Source organism: Homo sapiens, chromosome 7, assembly GCF_000001405.40.
Source record: "Homo sapiens chromosome 7, GRCh38.p14 Primary Assembly".
In the NCBI taxonomy this organism is placed as follows: Eukaryota; Metazoa; Chordata; class Mammalia; order Primates; family Hominidae; genus Homo; species Homo sapiens.
The window spans coordinates 137,766,757-137,790,185 of NC_000007.14; the positions used below are offsets into that span (position 1 = coordinate 137,766,757).

General features: G+C 39.1%; 1 protein-coding gene across 9 annotated transcripts in view, besides 1 other annotated feature; it reads right to left on the reverse strand.

The window, feature by feature from the left end:
• The window catches only part of DGKI (diacylglycerol kinase iota), a 465,938-nt gene that overhangs the window by 385,720 nt on the left and 56,789 nt on the right, over nt 1-23,429 (reverse strand). The window lies entirely within an intron of this gene.
• Nucleotides 15,585-16,085: an enhancer, noted in NCBI's record as "H3K4me1 hESC enhancer chr7:137467087-137467587 (GRCh37/hg19 assembly coordinates)". NCBI's record gives its function as "activates a minimal SCP1, AML or CMV promoter by ChIP-STARR-seq in primed H9 embryonic stem cells {active_cell/tissue: H9 hESC(primed)}" and the evidence as "EXISTENCE:reporter gene assay evidence [ECO:0000049][PMID:30033119]".

Genomic DNA, 23,429 nt, shown 5'->3' on the forward strand with positions numbered 1-23,429 from the left:
TGCATGGGTAAACGTGAGTCTGAAAAGAGAGAATTGAGTGAAAGTCAACACCCACAATGAGATCTTTCTGTTTCCCACTCCAAACTTGGCTCCCACAACACCTGCAGCAGGTGCACAGCCCCAGGAACAAGTCTGGGTGGTTCTATTATGGAGATTCTGGCCAGCCCAAGGGAAAAGCTTCCAGATGCTGACATCTGAGGATCCTCCAAGTGAACAGATCTGTGATCCTAGGCCACTCTGCAGTGGGGGGCCACTACCAGACGAGCCGGGGCCACCCACAGAAGGTGTCCTGTCAGCTCTTCAGAGCCTTATTCATGTCTGTGACCTGATGGGGGGGCCACTACCAGATGAGCCTGGGCCACCCACGGAAGTTATCCTGTCAGCTCTTCAGAGCCTTGTTCATGTATGTGACCTGATGGCTGCAGATCTCCTGCCATTGCAGGAAAGCCACCAGTATGAAAGACAGGGCCAAAGTACTCAATTAGGAAGAAAGAACTGAAAAATAAAAGAACAGAACAAAAATAAGAAACAGCTACTGGGCTTTTAAAGTGTCACAGGGGAAAAAAAACTCTTTGGTAAGAGTTACAAGATAAAGTTAAAGCAATCTCCCAGAATGTAGGTCAAAGGTAATGAAGAGATAAAGGTAAGAAAATTAGAGGATAAATTCAGGACATACAACTTCCATCTAATAAGAGTTCCAAAAGAGAAGAGAAGGGAAGAGAAGAGAAGAGAAGAGAAGAGAAGAGAAGAGAAGAGAAGAGAAGAGAAGAGAAGAGTAGAGTAGGAGGAAGAGGAAGAGAAGAGAAGAGAAGAGAAGGAGAAGGAGAAGAGAAGAGAAGAGAAGGAGAAGAGATAATAATATACATGTGGCTCCACTATAAATAGTATTTGTAAAATCTTAATCATTTAAAAAGTGTAGTGGTTAAAAGTAGACTCTGGAGCCTCGTTTACTTTGGTTTGAAGTCTGGCTCCACCAGCTACTACCTACATGACTTTGGAAAGTTAGTTAACCCAGGTCTCAATGTCCGTATCTGCAAAATGGAAAGAATAACAGTATCTGCTTTACATGGTTGCTATAAAGATTAGTTAATACATGTCTAAAGCTCTTCGACAGTGTCTTGCACCCAGAAAATACATAATAAAGGTGAGCTATTTTTAAAAATATTATATAATATTCCAGTATGAGAGGCAGAAGGATCACCTGAAGCCAGGACTCCAAGACCAGACTGGGCAACACAGCAAGACCCTGTCCCTACAAAACAAACACAAACAAACAAAAAACAAATAATCTGATCATGAGTCTAACCAAGAACTTTGATCTACATATATGAGGAAGCTACAGAAAGTGGGAGGATGTTAAGTGGACACAAGATGTTCATCTAAAATGGTACCATCTCATAGAAAGATGATGGTATTAGGTCGGTACCTAATACTATCATCTTGGCAAAACCAAAATTACTTTTGCACCAACCTAACAGATAATGTCTACAATTGGCAAACCAAATGATCATAGTATAAACATAGTATTTAGAAACACAGATATAAATAAATACCAGAAGGATAAGCTAGAGAAATGGAAAGTTGCTGTCAGGGGAGCAGGACTCAATAGTGGGGAGGGAGTGAGGCATAACAATGTGAATACTTCATTTTTAGAATCATTTAAAAACACACATATTTTAAATAGCTTCGTCACACTGAGCTAAAACCCAGAGGGATGACAAGAGACGACTCTCAAGAAGCAGCTTCTGCAAAAGCTAAGCACCAATTCTGAGCAAAAAATATCCTTTCCAGCTGCTTTAAAACCAAACAAAAAGTAAGCAAAGGGCACATTTCCAGGGGAAAGGGAGGCAACCCGACTGCATGCACGTACAGGCCCCGGGCAGAATCACGCTGTGCCTCATTACATAAGGTGCCCTGAATCTTTGCCCCATCCTGCCCTTCTCTGGCCCCTGTTTCCCCATATCCTTGCCTTCCTCCTCCAGAGCCAACATTCTTTGGGCTGCCTCCTTCACACTCAGGGACAAAATAAATTGCAGCCGCTTGGCTGAACGGCTATCAAATTGTGTTCCGGAGTCTTCTGCAGTTCCTATTCAATGGTCTATATGGCGGCTTCATCAGAGAAAACACTTTTACAGAGGAAGCATTTCTTTTAGAAGATGAGGTGTTAGCACTCTGTATTCTGAGGCACGTTGTAATAGTCATTGTCAGAGGTGCCAGCAGATGAAAATACCAGTCACTATAAGAGATTTCTGAAGAAGTCAGAAAAAAAAGTCAATTTTGTCTTCTCAAAAAATAGAAAGTGGGTCAGGAAATTCTGAGAAAAGACAGCATTTATGCATAGGGATTTCGCATTCTGATTACGGAGCCCTACTACATGATAATAATCTCTTGCTGCTTCTGCGACACCCAAGGGAGACACGGGAGAAAATGCAAAAGAAGCCGAGACGTGTTAGACCCGGTAGATGAACTCTGACTGTGGCAGATCCAGCAATGGTGGTCGAGGGTAAAGTTCTGTAAGAAGAGTTTGGTACCAAATGTCCCTGAAAATTTGGAACTAAAGTGAAAGCTATCTGAGTCAAAGAAATGGGTTTCAAGTGAACTGGAAAGAACTGGATTAATCAGCAAGGGAAGATCAAACTAGTACCATTCACTGAGTGATAACAATTAAGAATTAGTTTTATCACCAAAAGCAATTGCAACAAAAGCCAAAATTGACAAATGAGATCCAATTAAACTAAACAGCTTCTGCACAGCAAAAGAAACTACCATCAGAGTGAACAGGCAACCTATGAATGGGAGAAAATTTTTGCAATCTACTCATTTGACAAAGGTCTAATATGCAGAATCTACAAGGAACTTAAACAAATTTACAAGAAAAAAAAACAACCCCATCAAAAAGTGGGCAAAGGATATGAACAGACACTTCTCAAAAGAAGACATTTATGCGGCCAACAAACATGAAAAATAGCTCATCATCACTGATCACTAGAGAAATGCAAATCAAAACCACAATGAGATACTATCACATGCCAGTCAGAACGGCAATTGTTAAAAAGTCAGGAAACAATAGATGCTGGCAAGGCTGTGGAGAAATGGGAACGCTTTTACACTGTTGGTGGGAGTATAAATTAGTTCAACCATTGTGGAAGCCAGTGTGGCGATTCCTCAAGGATCTAGAACCAGAAATACCATTGGACCCAGCAATCCCATTACTGGGTATATACCCAAAGGATTATAAATCATTGTTCTATAAAGACACATGCGTATGTATGTTTACCGCAGCACTATTTACAATAGCAAAGACTTAGAACCTACCCAAATGCCCATCAGTGATAGACTGGATAAAGAAAATGTGGCACATATACACCATGGAATACTATGCAGCCATAAAAATGAAATGTCCTTTGCAGGGACATGGATGAAGCTGGAAGCCATCATTCTCAGCAAACTAACACAGGAACAGAAAACCAAACACTGCATGTTCTCTCTCATAAGCGGGAGTGAAACAATGAGAACACATGGACACAGGGAGGGGAACAACACACATCAGGGCCTGTCTGGGGGTGGGAGGCAGGGGAGGGAGAGCATTAGGACAAATACCTAATGCATGAGGGGCTTAAAACCTAGATGACGGGTTGATAGGTGCAGCAAACCACCATGGCACATGTATACCTATGTAACAAACCTACGCATTCTACACACATATCCCAAAACTTATAAGTAAAACAGAAAAAAAAAGAATTAGTTTTATAAAAATCAATAAATTATACTCAGTGGGTTTTTTTTTTTTTTTTTGAGACGGAGTCTCGCTCTGTCGCCCAGGCTGGAGTGCAGTGGCGGGATCTCGGCTCACTGCAAGCTCCGCCTCCCGGGTTCACGCCATTCTCCTGCCTCAGCCTCCCAAGTAGCTGGGACTACAGGCGCCCGCCACTACGCCCGGCTAATTTTTTGTATTTTTAGTAGAGACGGGGTTTCACCGTTTTAGCCGGGATGGTCTCGATCTCCTGACCTCGTGATCCGCCCGCCTCGGCCTCCCAAAGTGCTGGGATTACAGGCGTGAGCCACCGCGCCCGGCCCTCAGTGGGTTTTAATAAAATATTTTAGGGCCTTTTTAGCTTATTTATTTAAAATTTCAAGATCATATAGTCTTGAAGTGAACCAAAAAAATCAGAAAGAGTTACCCACTTTACCTATGGTATGTGAGGCAAGCTTTGAATGAGTAAATAAGGAGTGAATCTGTGTAATCGTCAGCTTCCATTTTGGTATAATTCTGCTTCTTATTCCCAATCTGGGTTTACGTTTTATCTTTGCAATTATATTCATTCTTTATTTATTTTTATTTATTTTTTTTGAGATGGCATCTCACCTCTGTCACTTAAGCTGGAGTGCAGTGGTGCAATCTCAGTTCACTGCAACCTCCACCTCCCGGGTTCAAGCGATTCTCCTGCCTCAGCCTCCTGAGTAGCTAGGATCACAGGTGCGTGCCACCATGCCCAGCTAATTTTTGTATTTTTAGTAGAGATGGGGTTTCGCCATGTTGGCCAGGCTGGTCTCAAACTCCGGACCTCAGGTGATCCACCCGCTTCAGCCTCCCAAAGTGCTGGGACTACAGGTGTGAGCCACCGTGCCAGGCCAACTTTCTTAAATCTCGAACAAAGCATTTACTTACTAGTTAGTGGAAACAAGATTCACATTGCATCATAGGTATTCCAGATACTTTCAGTGATGTGGAAATCAGAAACCCATAAAATTAAGTATGCCAGAAAGCAGTTTTGTACACATCTAAGTAAATTCTCTCTTAAACAAGAGAAAGGAATAAATAGATACCAATAAACATGCATCTTTATCTCAATAATATTTTAATGATTATTTCAATGATATTTAAAAAATCATCATGACTTGATACAATTGTTGGTACACAAAATGACGCCACTATGGTCTTCATGGAAAGTGTGACCTCATTAACGACTGAACAATCTGACAGATTCATTCAAATATGTCTAACAGACCCTGGGTGAGTCTGGAAGCTTTGGCAGTGAAACCAGAAGGACTCAGCCTGTGAGGGAAGGTTGGTTTGTCTCCAACTCGAACTGGGAAATACCTTCTAATAAGATGACACTGTTCTTGGGAATTCCAGAATCATGAAAAGGCAGTGGAAATCACTGGGTGTAGGAATCAGCAGCTGTGGGCTTCTGGAAATAACGTCCTGGCACTTACACGACCTTGTTCCAATTCAGAGTTAAGGCTGCTCTACACTGTGTGCATTCGTGTCCGTAAAGAAAGTAGCAAAATAAAAATCATGACTGGTTTCCATTTTAGGCCTCACTCTTTGCAGTGTCCTTCTTCATTCCCAAATCTTCCATGTTGGGAAAATTAAGGTAACAAGAAAATCTCCTCTGTTCTTTTTCCACTAAATCCAAAATCATGACACAGAACTCTGTTGAAATACATCATAAAGGTAGAATTTTAAAACAAAAGGCTGAATAAAATGGAGAGGAAGATACTTAACTCCATGGCTACCTCTCTCTTAGCCAGCATCATGTTATTTAAATATTATCTGCTTTTGGTCTGTTCTGTCTCCCCAACTAGACTGTGAATTCACATGTGAGAGCTATTCGTGATTCACCCTGGAGCCCTGGGTGACCGGCACAGTGTCTGACACAAGGCACTCAAGAGATTGCACTTAAACTGGACTGGGCCTACTTAAGGGAGGTATCAAAAAAACATTAAAGTAATACACACATCTGGTTAGAAAAAAGAAAGCTTGCAGAATGGTTTATAATGAATGACCTAAGCCCCCAGATCTGTTCCCCATCCTGCTCACTAAAGGCAACCATTCGTAACTATGAGAATTTGTTTTTAAGGTTTCATCACATGTATTGCTAATTCAAAAAAAAAGAAGAAGAAAAAGAATGCCAGTTTCAAATTATTCATGTCTCTTTACTTAAATAGACCCAAAATATTTGGAAACACTGTCAGCAGTTATTCCAAGTTGTTGTATTCATACATTCAACAAACATATATTGTTTGCATTAAAAGTTATGGCATTTCTATTTTCATACTTTCATCAACACAGACAAGCTTTCTTCTCCACTTAGGATGATGAAGGCATAAGTCAGTGTGACCCTAGAATTAGTGGGGACAGAACACATCAGCACTAGACAATGGGGGTGGAGAGAGGAAGGGTGAGTCAGTGTCACAATGGAATAAGCTGCTGCTCTATGAGTTACTCTTGCAGGATGGGGGTGAATTGCCAGATGCAGGAATGCACTCCCTTTTTTGCTTACTTCTCAGCAAGTGACACTCTGTACAAGAAGGGACCCATGGGTCAATTACATTATACCACATTTTACTTCTACAAACTGTGTACCAAAGCAGCTCCATGATTCACGGAACACTCCTCTTATTCTGAACAGTACAATCATCTGCAAAATCCCTTGGAATTATTTATAATGGGATTTATTTCATATTAGCAAAAACAAATGCATAAAATGGTACCACACGTATAGCACGGAAGGGTAGGAAAAACTCTGCAAAGACATGACACTTTGGGAAAACCCTCACACCAGTAAAGGGGAATAAATAATGAACTTGCCAAGAAGATACTATCAGGCGTTTGGCCAGAGAAACACATTACTGCCTTAGAGTGTTGGCCTCTGAAGGGGTATTCTGATCCCCAGGAAAAGCTGGAGCCCTGAAACCTGGTGACTCTGAGGGACCCTCTTCTCAGGATGCTTTAATAGATCTGTGAGGGCACACAGGAATTGAGAGACAAGATGTTGATCAGGCAGCTGAACTGAATAGGCAGCTATTGGTAAAGAAAAGACAAGAAGCCAATTCAGAAAAATTCTGTTGGCAGGACTCACATCTATCTACTACAAGAAGATCATATTCTACATAAAGTGAAGGAGAATCCAAGGCCTAGAAAGAAAACCAAGCCAATAATGATAACCAAAATACAAAAAAAAAATAGAAACTCATGTTTTCCAAATGCTTAATAGCAGAAAGCTTTTCCAAAGTTAATCTGAGTGATCCCTTGTTACAATACTAACCTGTAGACATTATTTTCATTTTATGGATGAGGAAACTGAGGCTCACAGAAGCTATATAGCCTGCTAAGGGCCACAGAAGTAGTAAAGTGATTCAGATCCAAGGCTGCCTGACTCTAAATCCATGCTCCTTCTATCACAACAAGGTGGATGTCTAGAAGGTGAGAAAAATCATGTATCTAAATCCATAGACAGTATGTATGGTAATACTTCTGAGGTTAACAAACAAATAAGCAAGTCTGCCTCAATGAGAAGGCACCAAACTTTTTCAGTCACTTACACTTACTTTCTTAACTGGGTCCCTTATACTATTTCCTGGGTGACTAATTTTGGCCAGTGTTTTATAATTTTATATAATTTTAAAATATAACAGATTCAGGATTGAATAAAAAAGAAGTTATGGTCATAATTAGAGCAACATGAAAAGGTACATTACAAACATTTTCACTGTTGGAAAAGGGGCAATTCATGTTAGCTCCTATTTTCCCAACTGTTTTAAAAAAAAAAATCAAACTTTGAAATAGGTCAAAGAGAGATTTTCTTAGAAGGTTACATGTTTGTGAAAACAGAGGAAGCTAAACATTTCCATGCAATTTCCACTATACCAAATCAACTCAGAAGGTTCTTTTTCCCTACTGTAAAAAAAAATTTAAATGTCCACCTTTACGTGAATGAGGATAATAAAGTCGCATCCGCTATTCTCCTTATGTTAATGTGTCTGCAAAACACACATTTCCCATTACCCTCCCCCTACACACACACAGAGTAAAAAATAAAATTGAACTCAACCTTCGCCCCATCCAGGGGTGTTTTTCCTTCCAGCGGTCCCACATTCTGAGTTGCTAGTAGTATTCGAGTGCTCAGGAAGCCTCCCTTACCAAGTGGCATCTCCTCCAAAGAGACCACCTGATTTGTAGCGACACATGGCCCACCAGGTAAAGTAACAGCTACCCCTTGCCTTCTTTCCTCCTGTGAGCAACCCTTCTCTTCTCTTCCTGACCCTCTTGTGTTAAGGTCCTATATGAAAAGGAGGAGGGAAGGGCTTAAAGGAGAACGAGAAAGACAAGCAGGAGTCAAGATTTCTGTGACGTCACAGGACTGTTATGAGTGGCTGCTAACCATTTCTGAAAAGACATGAAAATTCTTCATCTGCCGTCAATATCTATAAGCTGTTCTCAAGTCTTTCCATTCAGCAGTTTTTCCAGGCAGGTCTCCTCACACGGTTTTTTTTTTCTTTTCTTTTTTTATTATTATTTTTTTTAACACACTAAGCTGACTCAGACTCACAGGCAGAAGTTCTGACTCATTTTTCTTTTCTTTTTTTTAGACTCCTTGAGTCCTGAAAAGGTGTGCTCCATGTGGCATTATTAGTTCTTCTCATATAAGTGGGGAAATCCAGTCCAAAGATTAAGTCACGAAGCTATGATCTTTAAAGCTTAGAAAAAAGCAAAATATTCCTGGGAGGACCGTAATGAAACAAGGATGACAATCAAGAAGTTTTATCAAAATTCGATAGGCAGGCACTCATTCCAGGCAAGGAAATACTGACTTCTCTGGACCACCAACCTTTCTTCTTCTCCTTCACTTTCTACCAAGGTACCTCTGCCATTCCCCTGTCTTGTCTACCTGAGGGTATGTGGCTATGCAACTTCATGGTGCCAAATCCTCAAATGAATTTTAGAATTAATTTAGTGCTCACCTGTGTTTGCATCTGGGTTTATATTTTCAGGTGATAATATGTATGTCGGTGCATGTGCACACAAGATGTGTGTAGTTACTTATAAGTGGGCAAATTCTTGATTGGCACATCTACTTTGAACCAACAATTCCTCGTCTATAAGTCTATCTTACAAAAGTATGCACCGAAGCAGACAAAGATGTAAGAGAATGTTTTAGCAACATTACGTGTAATAGCAAAACACTGGAAACATTTAAACAGTAGGGAACTCGATAGATAAACTTATATCCATATTATGGGATACTATCCTATCATTAGATACAATAAAGTAGATTTATTATAGTCTCACAGGGAAAGATGTCAAAAGTATATTCTTTTTTTTTTCTTTTTTTGGCAGAGTTTTTCGCCCTTTTTGCCCAGGCTGGAGTGCAATGGTGTGATCTCGGCTCACTGCAACCTCCGCCTCCTGGGTTCAAGCGATTCTCCTGCTTCAGCCTCCCGAGTAGCTGGGATTATAAGCATGTGCCACCATGCTTAGCTAATTTTGTATTTTTAGTAGGGATGGGGTTTCTCCATGTTGGTCAGGCTGGTCTCAAACTCCTGACCTTAGGTGATCCACCTGCCTTGGCCTCCCAAAGTGCTAAGATTACAGGCGTGAGCCACCACGCCCAGCTAAAAGTATATTCTTAAATGAAAGAAGCAAGTGGCAGTATTATGCAATGAGTGAATCATTGGAATAGATTGATGTGTTTCCCTGTTTCAAATCATGGTTGATACAGGGACATCACTTAACTACCGACAGCTGCATCAAACAAAAGATTATACCCATTAAAAATCAATAAATGCTTTGAAAATTATTGGAATAGTTTGATGAATGATTTAACCTCTAACATAGATCACCTGGTAGGCAATTATATATAGTTTGGTCTGCCTAGAGAATAGAACATATTTTTAAGTGCTAAGTTTTATATTACCATGCAGTGGTTAAACATTTTGACCATCATCTTACTTTACGTGTGTGTGTTTATTCATAGATGCTTAGAAAAAATATAGAAGGATTACACAACACAGAAAATGGTTAAGTGTGGTTACCTCTGAGGGTAGGGGAAGAGGTGTATCTGAGGAAGGTGTACTTAAAGAAGAAACGTTCATTTTTCATTTTGTATTATCTATTTCATATAACCACGCAATCGATCATCTATGATTGGTACAGGGCAACTTAATGGAAGAAGTGGATTATCAGTGTCTTAAAGCATGACAGTATGAGAAAGCCTTTGTGATAAATGACAGATATTTGAGGGGGCAGGTGTATGTGGGAGAGGCTCAAAGCAAAAATGGACTGGAGAAGAGACGAAAAATACATGAGAAAAGGAGGAGTAATGAGATAATAATCAATTGTAAGAAAAGGCCTTTTAAAAAGACCAGGCAGGATAGCTGATGCCTATAATCCCAGCAGTTTGGGAGGCTGAGGCAAAAGAAATGCTTGAGGCCAAGAGTTCAAGACCAGCCTGGGAAACACAGCAAGACCCTGTTTCTACCAAAAAAAAAAATTTTTTTTAATTAGCTGGGCATGGTGGCACATGCCTGTAGTCCTAGCTAACCAGGAGGCTAGAGCAGATGATTGCTTAAGCCCAGGAGTTTGAGGCTGCAGTGAATTATGATCATGCCACTGAGCTTCAGCCCAGGCGACAGAGTGAGACCCCCACCAATCTGTTAAAAAAAGGATGAGGCGGGAGAAACTTTAGTATATATGCATGGTAGTAATATGGAATTCTATGGCATTATTTTAAAAAGTGGAAAAGGCATTGTCTGCTCACCAACAATAACTTACATGGAAACAGTAATTAAAACTGGGATTCCACCAAGAAAGAATCTCCATAAAAAGTATGCAATGCCTATATGATTATGTAGCAGTCAAAAAAGAAACAAAGAAAGGTTGACATGTCCAGGAAAATGTGAAAGGATTCTGGCTCCCTGTGTCTCACAGCAGCGACGGCTATGGTCTAGCTCCCTCAGTGTTCCTCTGTGTCATACTGTAGCCACGCCAATTAAAGCTTCAAGAGCTGCTTAATTTTTGAAATCAGAATCAGCCTTTTCCTTTGTGTTCATAAAACTTTAAGTCATATCTCAACAGATGAAATATTGGCATCATTGGCTCTTTAGTTATTTACTATGTCACTGCTTTCGACTCATCAATGTCTTTTATTCTCTTTAAAGAATTCTTCTATTTATATACATAGATTTTTAAGTCTTCATCTGGTTCATTTTCTGAGGCTCCTGGAAAGCTTTCCTCTGGATAACTGAGGCATTTCTGTGGTTCTAACTTTACCTTGTTAATCGCATATTGGTATTTAAATATTCAGTGCCATGAGTGAGAAGACAAAGGGAAAATATTTGGGAATGACCAGATACCTAAAATTTCGTCATAAATACACCTAAAATGCAACCATCATGTGGCTATTCAGTCCGTTCACCTTCCCTTATTTCCTCAACAAGAATACTAGGCGATTGGCAATCACAGGTAAGACATGGACCCTACCAAGGCGTACACAGCTCACAGTGTAATAAGTGATTAAACAATTAAATATAAGTTGATGAGTTTTGTGATACTAAAACATAACAAAAACATTAGGAAAATATGAAAGTATGAGTAGCCCACTTTCAATAACGCCCAGAAGTTTTCACCAATGAGTTGGTACTTCGAGCTGACTTTTGAAGAACTAGGAGTTAGCCCGGCTACAAAGAACATAGAGGCATTTTAGTCAGGATCATGATATAAGCCCAAGAAGGGGAGACTTTTAAGGGAAGGGTGTGTCTAGGAAATGCCAAATGGTTCAATAAAGCCAGAGAGTGCATAGGATAAGTGAGGAGGAATCTAAAAAAGGAAGATAAGAAAGCAGAGAGAAAGCAATGAAGAGTCATTGATGGGCTTTCAACCAGAAAATGGTTTGCTTGGGTTTGCTTTTTTGAAAGATTACTTAGGGGACAATGGGCAGGTGTGTTACAGGGAGATGAAAGAGGAGGCAAGAAGGAGGTGCTCTGTCTTCTGTTAATAGCAAAGTAGCTAGGTCAGAACAATTGTTCCACAGATAACAATTTTTAGATCTGGACAATTAAAAAAAAAAACTACTCAAAGGCACTACAAAGTGAACATGGTTAGGCAAAATCTGGAGCAGAGACCCCCATTAAAAGACAAACTGCAATGAATGAAATTTGCAAGTTTGCAAATATTTGACTGTTAGCACTCCCAATTTGCACATAGCTGGGGTTGCAGAAAGCCTCAGTTTCCTTACTTGATCAAAGTATCAGATAACTTAGGGGAAGGCAAAACTGCAGAAAGTTAGGGGGAATATGTTAAATAGAGAGAAGTCACAAAGGCAGTGATCCCTAAAATCTGCAAATAAATCTCTCTCCCAAATCACTGGCTAAAAAATAAACTATACATACAGGTTAATCTTCTAAGTCAATGAAATCCCAATCATAACTCCAGCAGGTCTTCTGAAAATAAAAATTGACATGTTAATTCTAAAATTTATTTGGAAATGTAAAGGATCCAGAATACATTAATCTTGAAAACAGAAAAAAGATAGAGAATTCATACCACATGACTTGAAATTTACTTTAAACCTACAGGGTGTTATTGGCATAAAGATAGAAAAATAGATTAACAGAACAGAATAGAGAGTCCAGAAATAGTACAAGTCTATAGTCAATTGATTTTTGAAAAAGCCACCAAAGAAATTCAATAAAGCAAGCAATAATTTCAACAAATTATGCTGGAACAGCTAGATGTTCATATGGAAAAAAAAAGAATGAACCTCAACCTCTATCTTATAGCAAGCATAAAAATTAATTCAAGATGAATCATACATAGACCTAAGTGTGAAAGCTAACACATAAAATTTTTAGAAGAAAACAGAAGAAGATCTTCATGACTTGCAGATAAGTAAAGATTTCTCAGAAGGACATAGAACATAATATCATTTTTAAAAATTAAAAGTTTTTGCTTATAAAAATTACATTAAGAAAATTAATAAGTATGCTTCAGATTGGAAAAACATATTTACCAACCATGAATCTGATAATCGATTTGTATCCAGATTTTTTTAACTCCTGCAACTACTAATAAACATTTTTAAACAATTAAAAATAGTCAAAAATAAAAACTTGAACAGACGTTTGACAAAAGAATTACCCAGTCTGTGGTATTCTGTTACAGCTGCACAAAACAGACTAAGACAGTTTATAAGTTTTACTTAAAATAAAGTCTATAAATTCGTCATTATAATAGAGTGGGGAGTGGGAATGTAAAACTAGGTAACAGCAACATGGGGTACATTATATTATTTTGTGTCCTTTGTCTATATTTGAAATTTATCAGTATAAGTTGTTTTTTAAATGAAACTTCAGTCATTCAGTGAGAGATGATGAAGGAGTGAAGTAAGAAAGCATCAGTGAAGATAGAGAAAATAAAATGAGTCTGACTGCTATTCAGGAGATGATCTGTGAATGATATACTGAATCAATGTGAGAGATGAGAAGGAAAACAATTCATGAATTCCAAGTCATTCATAACAGAACTGTGTTTCCATATCATTGGTTTCCATAGTAGTCCTGTATTCTTACAAACACTGTTTTGAAAGGCGGTCAGAGACATCACCAGATTGCTAAAGTGGCATGGTTGACAAGAACTTAAGAATCTGTTGATGACTCCCAACTTTCTGATTTAAACAACTAAGGGTTTCTAAGTACCATTTCTTAAGACTAAAGATAAATTACATGAAGGCAAATAGATATTCAGAATGAGGAATGGTATTTAGAGTAATGATGATGTGAGCTAAACTTGTAATACTTTGATCAGAGAAGTAGAGTAAGCTATCAGATATATGGATCTGCATCTCAGAAAGAGGTCTGGGCTACAAAGACAAATTTGGCAGTCATGAGCTTAGGGGAAATCTATCATTGTAAGCAATTCCTGTAAGATGCACAGCTGTTTATCTAAGGGCACCCTGGAAAAGGAAGGGTGTCTACAAGGAAGGTGAAAATACAACCTTCATAAAGAAAGCGTGGTTTCACTTTGTCATCCATTCAATCTATCCCTAGATGCAGCCAATTCTATATCCATGTAACAAAATTCCTTCTGCAACTAGTCAGAAATGCTTTTTTCTAAATGGGGGTAGAAAAATGATGCTCACATAACATGATGTTTCAGTGAATATTTTCTTTCAAGCATCAAGAAATAATTTTTTTAAAAGAGCTAGACGTTTTGCAAAATTTACCAAAAAAGGTGCTATAAACTGTTTATAAAACTCATAATTCCTTAAAAGGATCAAGAATTGGACAGTTTTGGAGGGATTGTTCAAGGAAGCTATTGATGTGTTGAGAGTCCACAACCCTTCAATCAAGGAGAGCCAGTGGTTAGTGGGGCTTGCCGCTTCACCTCATGTCAAGAAAGAGGGACTTTAAAAAGGCAGACAGAGGGCTTCACATCTGTCCTCAGCAGTCTGTGCAGTTTGGGGAACAAATAGATTTGTGTCTGAACCACATCTGACATCAGACATGATAGCATCTAGGCTTGCTGGCTGTTTTGTTGGTGGATCTAGGAGAGGTGGTTGCACTCCCAGAGTTTGCAGAAGCAAAGGGTATTTGAGTGTCTTCCATGAACAAGGTGTGGGCTGTGCATCTGAGACAGCCATATCAGGACTGTTCAGGTACTACTCAAAAGGCATAGCAGAAATTAGCTGGAGGTGTGGCCAGGAGCCTAAGGGTCGGGAAAGGTGTAGCCCAGTAGCAACGCATTGTTTTTGTCTCAGAGAACTACAGATATGAGACCCTTAGCAATGGGGGGAGGGTATGTTCTTTTTGGGCAAAGAATACACAAAAGAACTCCACAGAGAAGTAAACTTACATATCTGCTAGATTCAGAAAGCACTGAAACTAGACTAACAATTCATCAGCAGTTAAGTAAGCACTTTACTGTTTCCCTTATATTTCCTTCCTCCTCCTCTCTCTCAACCCAATTTAATGGGGTCTGAGACTGAGGCTAGCCTAGAGAAGAAAAGGGGTGAAGGAATACTGAGGAGAAAGAGGGAAGCTGACCACTCTCCTTCCATGACTGCAGGGCTGGGGCAGGCCCCTGTTGGAGGAGGGAAGAAAGCTCAATTCTAAATCAACTCCAGTGTTTTTGCTAGTACATAATGCTGGACGTTTCAGGTACTGAATTATCTGGTGTTTTTAACCTGAATGTTTTGTTTTGTTTTGTTTTTTAATTGCCTAAGAGTGACCGGAATTGCCAGGGAAGGACATGTCCCACTGTGCAGGTTTAAAGAATAAATGGAGGGAGAAGGCAAAGCTGTTTGATGATGGCATCCTACGAGTTGAGCATGGTCATCTCAAGTGCTACATTTTAATCATAGCAGTGATTCCTCAATCTGTCAAAATGGCTCTAAACATTTTGGTTACCACTGTCAATTAAGATGGTGGATAGGAGGCAGGAATAGCTTGCAGCTCCTGCTCAGACAGACAGAGCAGCATGTGGAGACTCACACCATGAACTTTTGCTCCAAGAACTACTGTAGGAACATACCAGAAAAGCTGAGAAAATCCACAGACCCTTTCAAGTAACGAACTAGATCACCTCTGCAGACTCCTTGAGACACCAAAAAACTGTGAGTCTGCTTGCTTTCTCAATGGGAAGGCTCATGGTCTGGGACAAGTTCTCAGCCCTGGTCACTGGCTGCCTGGAAATAGACTCGGTGCTGTCGTGGGGGCATGATGAGAGTGAGACCGGCCATTAGGACTGCAGGCTGTGTGGACGATGGGTGAGGCCTGTGACTCCCCGCTTTCCCCCACATCCCTGACAACCTGTATGACTCAGCAGAGGCAGCCAAAATCCCCCTGGGAACATAACTCCATTGGCCTGGGAACCACACCCCCATCCCCCACAGCAGCCACAGGGAGCCCTGCCCAAGGAGAGGCTGAGCTAAGACACGCCTAGCCCTGCCCTCACCTAGTGGTCTTTCTCTACCTAGCCTGGTAGCCAAAGACAAAGGTCATAATCTCTTGGGAGCTCTATGGCCCCGTCCACCACCTGAGAAACCTGAATACTAACCAGGTATCCCTGGGGAAGGTTTGCATCCTCCCTATAGGACCGCAGCTGATGCACTCTTGAAAGCACCACCTCCTGGCTGGAGGCCAACCAACACAAAACCAGTGCACTAAACAAAAACAACCAAGGACCCTCACAGAGTCCACTTTACTCCCCTGTCACTTCCACCGGAGCAGGTGCTGGTAACCACAGCTGAAAGACCTGAAGATGGATCACATCACAGGACTCATTGCAGACACTCTCCAGTACCAGCTCAGAGCTCTGTAGCTCCACTGGGTGGCTAGCAAAACAATCACTATAGTTCGGCTCTCAGGAAGTCCCATTCCTAGGCGAAAGGGGAGAACACCACATCAAGGGAGCACCCCGTGGGACAAATGAATCTAAACAGCAGCGCTTGAAGCCCAGATCTTTCCTCTGACATAGTCTACCCAAATGAGAAGAAACCAGAAAAACAATTCTGGTAATATGACAAAACAAGATTATTAACACCCTGAAAAATCATACCAGCTCATGAGCAATGGATCCAAACCAAGATGAAATCTCTGAATTGACAAAAAAAGAATTCAGAAGGCCGACTATTAAGCTAATCAAGGAGGCACCAGAGAAAGGTGTAGTCCAACTTAAACAAATCAAAAACGTGATACAGGATATGAAAGGAAAGTTCTTCAGTGAAATAGACTGCATAAATAAGAAACCATCACAACTTCTGGAAATCAAGGACACACAGAAATGCAAAATGCACTAGAAAGTCTCAGCAATAGAATCAAACAAACAGAAGGAAGAATTTCAAAGCTCAAAGACAAGGCTTTCAAATTAACCCAATCTGTCAAAGACAAAGAAAAAAGAATTTTAAAAAATGAACAAAGCCTCCAAGAAGTTTGAGACTATGTTAAATGTCCAAAACCAAGAATAATTGGTGTTCCTGAAGAAGAAGAGAAATCTAAAAGTTTGGAAAACATATCTGAGGGAATAATGGAGGAAAACTTCCTGGCCTTGCTAGAGATCTAGACATCCAAATAAAAGCAGCTCAAAGAACACCTGGGAAATTCATTGTGAAAAGATCATTGCCTAGGCACATAGTTGTCAGGTTATCCAAAGTCCAGACAAAGGAAAGAGTCTTAAGAGCTGTGAGGCAAAAGCAGCAGGTAACCTATACAGAAAAACCTATCAGATTAACAGCAGATTTCTTAGCAGAAACCATATAAACTAGAAGGGACTGGGATTCTATTTTTAGCCTCCTTAAGCAAAACAGTTACCAGCCAAGAATTTTGTATCCAGTGAAACTAAGCTTCATAAATGAGGGATAGATACAGTCTTTTCCAGACAAACAAATGCTGAGAGAATTTGCCACTCCCAAGTCAGCATTACAAGAACTGCTAAAAGAAGCTCTAAATCTTGAAACAAATCCTCAAAATAGAACCTTCTTAAATCATAAACCTCACAGTACCTATATAACAATAACACAGTGTAAAAAACACAAGGTATTCAGGCAACAAATAGCATGATGAATAGAATAGTATTTCACATCTCAATACTGACATTGAATGTAAATGGCCTAAATGTTCCACTTAAAAGATACAGAATGGCAGAATGGATAAAGAATTCACCAACCAAGTTTCTGCTGTCTTCAGGAAACTCACCTGACACATAAGGACTCAGATAAATTTAAGGCAAAGGGGTAGAAAAAGATATTCCATGCAACTGGACACTAAAATCCAGCAGTAGTAGCAATTCTTATATCAGGCAAAACAAACTTTAAAGCAACAGCAGCTAAAAAAGACAAAGAGGGACATTATAGAATGATAAAAAGACAAGTCCAACAGGAAAATATCACAATTTTAAATACGTATGCACCTAACACTGGAGCTCCCAAATTTATAAAACAATTACTACTAGACCTAAGAAATGAGATAGATGGCAATATAATAATAGTGGGGGACTTTAATACTCCACTGACAGCACTAGACAGGTCATCAAGATCGAAAATGAACAAAGAAACAATGGACTTAAACTATACCCTATAACAAATGAACTTAACAGATATTTATAGAACATTCTACCCAACAACTATAGACTTTACATTCTATTCATCAGCACATGGTACATTCTCCAAGATAGACCATATGATAGGCCACAAAACAAGTCTCAGTAAATTTAAGAAAATAGAAATTATATCAAGTACCCTCCCAGACCACAGTGGAATAAAACTGTAAATCAACTCCAAAAGAACCCCTCAAAACCATATAAGCACATGGAAATTAAATAACTTGTTCCTGAATGATCACTGGGTAAACAAATCACGATGGAAATTAAAAAATTATTTGAACTGAATGATAATAGTGACACAACCTATCAAAACCTCTGGGATACAGCAAAAGCAGTGCTAAGAGGAAAGTTCATAGCATTAAATGCCTGTATCAAAAAGTCTGAAAGAGCACAAATAGACGATCTAAGGTCACACCTCATGGAACTGGAGAAACAAGAACAATCTAAACTCAAACCAAGCAGAAGAAAAGAAATAACAAAGATCAGAGCAGAACTAAATGAAACTGAAACAACAACAAAAAAACAATACAAAAGATAGATTAAACAAAAAGCTGGTTCTTTGAAAATATAAATAAAATTGATAGACCATTAGTGAGATTAACCAAGAAAAGAAGAAAGAAGATCCAAATAAGCTCAATTAGAAACAAAATGGGAGATATTACAACTAATACCACAGAAATACAAGGCTACTATGAACACCTTCACGTGCATAAACCAGAAAACCTGGAGGAGATAAATTTCAGGATAAATTCCTGAAAATATACAACCCTCCTAGATTAAACCAGGAAGATAGAGAATCTCTGAACAGACCAATAACAAGCAGCGTGATTGAAATAGTAATGTAAAAATTGCCAACAAAAAAAAAAGTCCAGGACCAGACAAATTCACAGCTGAATTCTATCAGACATGTAAAGAAAATTAGTACCAATCCTATTGACACTATTCCGCAAGATAGACAAAGAAGGAATCCTCCCTAAATCATTTTATGAAGCCAGTATCACCCTAATACCAAAACCAGGGAAGGACATTAAAAAAACAGAAAACTACAGACCAATACCCTTGATCAACACAGATGCAAAAATCCCCAACAAAATACTAGTGAACTGAAGCCAAGAGCATATCAAAAAGATAATCCACATGATCAAGTGTGTTTCATACCAGGGATGCAGGGATGGTTTAACATATATGAGTCAGTAAGTGTGATACACCACTAACAGAATTGAAAACAAAAATCACATGATCATCTCAATAGATGCAGAAAAAGCATTTGACAAAATCCAGCATCACTTTATGATTAAAACCCTCAGCAAAATCGGCATAGAAGGGACATAACTTAAGGGAATAAAAGCCATCCAAGACAAACCCACCACCTACATTATGCTGAATGGGGAAAAGTTGAAAGCATTCCCCCTGAGAACTGGAACAAAACAAGAATGCCCACTTTCACCACTTGTATTAAACACAGTACTAGAAGTCCTGGCTAGAGCAATCAGGCAAGAGAAAGAAATAAAGGGCATCCAAATTGGTAAAGAGGAAGTCAAACTGTTGCTGTGTGCTGATGATATCATTGTATACCTAGAAAACCCTAGAGTTATCCAGAAAGCTCCTAGAACTGGTAAATGAATTCAGCAATGTTTCAGGATACAAAATTAATGTACACAAATCAGTAGCTCTGCTATACACCAACAGTGACCAAGTTGAGAATCAAATCAAGAACTCAATCCCTTTCGTAATAGCTGCAAAAAAATGAAATGCTTAGGAATATACCTAACCAAGGAGGTGAAAGACCTCTACAAGGAAAACTACAAAACACTGCTGAAAGAAATCATAGATGCCACAGCAAATGGAAACACATCCCATGCTCATGAGTGGGTAGAATCAATATTGTGAAAATGACCACACTGCCAAAAAAAATCCACAAATTTAATGCAATTCCCATCAAAATACCACCATCATTCTTCACAGAACTAGAAAAAACAATCCTAAAATTCATATGGAACCAAAAAAGAGCCTGCATAGCCAAAGCAAGACTAAGCAAAGAAAAAAAAAAAAAATCTGGAGGCATCACATTACTCAACTCTAAACTATACTATAAGGCCACAGTTAGGAAAACAGCGTGGTACTGGTATAAAAATCAGCACATAGACCAGTGGAGCAGAATAGAGAACCCAGAAATAAAGCCAAATACTTACAGCCAACTGATCTTCAACAAAACAAACAACAACATAAAGAGGGGAGAGGACACCCTATTCAACAAATGGTGCTGGGATAATTGGCAAGTCACATGTAGCAGAATGAAACTTGATCCTCATCTCTCACCTTATACAAAAATCAACTCAAGATAGGTCAAATACTTAAATCTAAGACCTGAAACCATAAAGATTATAGAAGACAACATTGGAAAAACCCTTCTAGACATTGGCTTAGCCAAAGACTTCATGACCAAGAACCCAAAAGCAAATGCAACTAAAACAAAGATAAATAGATAGCACTTAAACTAAAAACCTTCTGCACAGCAAAAGAAATAATTAGCAGAATTAACAGACAACCCACAGAGTGGTAAAAAATATTCACAATCTATACATCTGACAAATGACTAATATCCAGAATCTACAAAGAACGCAAACAAATCAGCAAGAAAAAAAAATCCCATCAAAAAGTGGGCTAAGGACAGGCATAGACAATTCTCAAGAAAAGATATACAAATGACCAACAAGCACAGGAAAAATGCTCAGCATCACTAATTATCAGGGAAATGCAAATCAAAATTGCATTTTGATACGACCTTACTCCTGCAAGAATGCCCATAAGCAAAAAACCATAAAGTAATAGATGTTGGCATGGATGCAATGAAAACATTTTTACACTGTTGGTGGAATGTAAACTAGTACATAGTTCCACTATGGAAAACAGTGTGGAGATTCCTTAAAGAACTAAAAATAGATCTACCATTTGATCCAGCAATCCCACTACTAGGTATCTACTCAGAGGAAGTCATTATATGAAAAAGATACTTGCACACACATGTTTAAGCGGCACAACTTGCAATAGCAAAAATATGGAACCAGCCCAAATGCCCATCAATCAATGAGTGGATAAAGAAAATTTGGTGTATATACAGACGGAATACTACTCAGCCATGAAAAGGAATGAAATAATGGCATTTGCAGCAACCTGGATGAAACTGGACACTATTATGCTATGAGGACACAAAAGCATAAGAATGACACATTGGACTCTGGGAACTCAGGGGAAACTGTCAGGGGTAGCAAGGGAAAAAAGACTACACATTGGGTACAGTGTACACTGCTCAAGTGATGGTGCACCAAAATCTCAGAAATCACCCCTAAAGAACTTATTCATGTAACCAAACACCACCTGTTCCCTAAAAACCTATTGAAATAAAAAATAAAAAATTATAAAAATATTTTGGTCACATCAACACTTAAAAATCTTTTTAGAAATACTTAATATTTTACTAAAAGTGAGACAGCATATTAGGGATACGATAATGTGTAATTTCTCTTGAGGTTCCTGTTCCTCCTTCAAAGCCTTCTCTGATCATATCCAGATCTCTGGGTCCCATCCACACTTCTTGTCAGTTCTGGAGCCACATTTCCAGCTGCCTACTGGACGGTCCAACTTGATGGGGTTCATTTAAAACTCATCATGTCCCAAGGTGAATCTTGCCATTTTTACAAGTCTCCATATCTCTTCCCAATCCCATCTTCCCCCTTCCCTTCCCTTCACTGTCTTCCACTTCTAAACTGGAACACTCAATTGCTCCTCCTTCTGAACTTTTCAATGGTTCCCAATGTCGAAATCCAACCTCCCAGACATGACTTCTCTTGATGGCTACGTCTCCAGACTGTTCTTCTACCAATCATCCATGTGTTTTCTAAATTCTCCTGCTCATGGCCAAGGACTCCTCGCCTGTATATCTCTATTCTTGTTGGTCTAGATTGGTTGGAATGCCCTGCATACCCAAACCCATAAATACACACACACACACACACACACACACACATACACACACACACACACCTCCATCCCCCTGCCATACACACACACATCTAGGCCCTAACCAGAAAATGCCTATCTGGTAACCCAAATGTCACCTCCCTGCAGTCATTTCTATGCTTTCTAGGCTGGGGAGTTAAGTGGATTAAGTGCCCCTGTGTAAGCATTTATCAAATTTTATTTCAATCATCTCTGTGCTTCACTATGTGCCCTTCCCTGTGCTGCCCAACAAAACAAAATGTTAATCTTCAACAGAATCCCTTTTTTCTTTTTTGTCTTCTTATGCAAGTATGATTCTTGATACAAAGCAAATTGCTCAATAAGTATTTGTTTAAATGAATTACAGTGAAGTGAATTAATGGCTTCAAAGAATTTATAATTTAAAAGGAGAAACAAGAACAAGGATTCTCTTATTCACCCATAACACAGGTCTCAATGAAAGTTTGGGGAATAACTGAAAGCATAAATGAATAAAAGAGTAGGTAGAAAACTGGGTATCCCCACAAAGGGAGCTGATAAAGGACTACAGAAATTTAATGGAGAGAGACATGACACTCTTTTTTACTTTTTGTTTCTCATTTTAGTACCCTAAGCTGCAAAGCTTAAAATAAATGAATGCAAAAGATTTGGAAGTGGGAGAGGTTTTTTTAAAAAAAATAAAATAAAAATAAAAAGACTACCACCCACTCCCCATGCTACCCTCCCACTGAAATGACTATAGTTTTAGCATCCGTAATGGGATTGTTGCAGTTTTGAGAATGTTGCCATAGTAACCAACCTCAGCCCTTCCCCTAATATAAGATAAGATTTAGCAAAAGAAATAAATAACAGACTCCCATAGAAACATTATCAAACCTTTCCATATAAATAACCTGGGTAATTAAATGTTTCAAAACAGAATATTTAGGGAGCCGTGAAAAAGAAAACATTCTACAAAGTGTATTTTTAAATGAAGGAGGAAAAAAAAACACACAAAACATCAGCTGGAACACTTGGCTGCCTGAATGGTTTCAAGGAGTCACAATTTCCAAACTTGCCTGGACAAGAACCACAGTCAGAACGGAGAAGCGCAATTCTGTATTTTGATACACAAGCAACATTCCTATCAGAAATTCTCCAACCTTATTCTAAGGAGTTATTTCAACATACAAGTAAGAGAACCTCCTCTTTGTATTCCCCCAAACACAACAAGGGGCACTTGGAAAATATTATCTGTAGTAGATCCTCATAGTACTATTACCTAGGTAACACCATAGTTTTGCTATATTCATGCTCTGTTCTTTTCAAGAATTCTCTAGTTGATATGTTAATCTATAGCAAGGATTGCACACTTCTTCAGAAAAGAACAAGAAAATAAATATTTTAGCCTTTGAAGACCACACAATCTCAGTCACAACTACTCCACTCTGTCACTGTAGCACAAAAGTAGCCACAGATAATACATAAATGAATAAGCATGGCTGTATTCCAGTAAAACTTTATTTACAAAAACAGCCAGCGAGATCTGGTCCATGGGCCATAGTTTGCC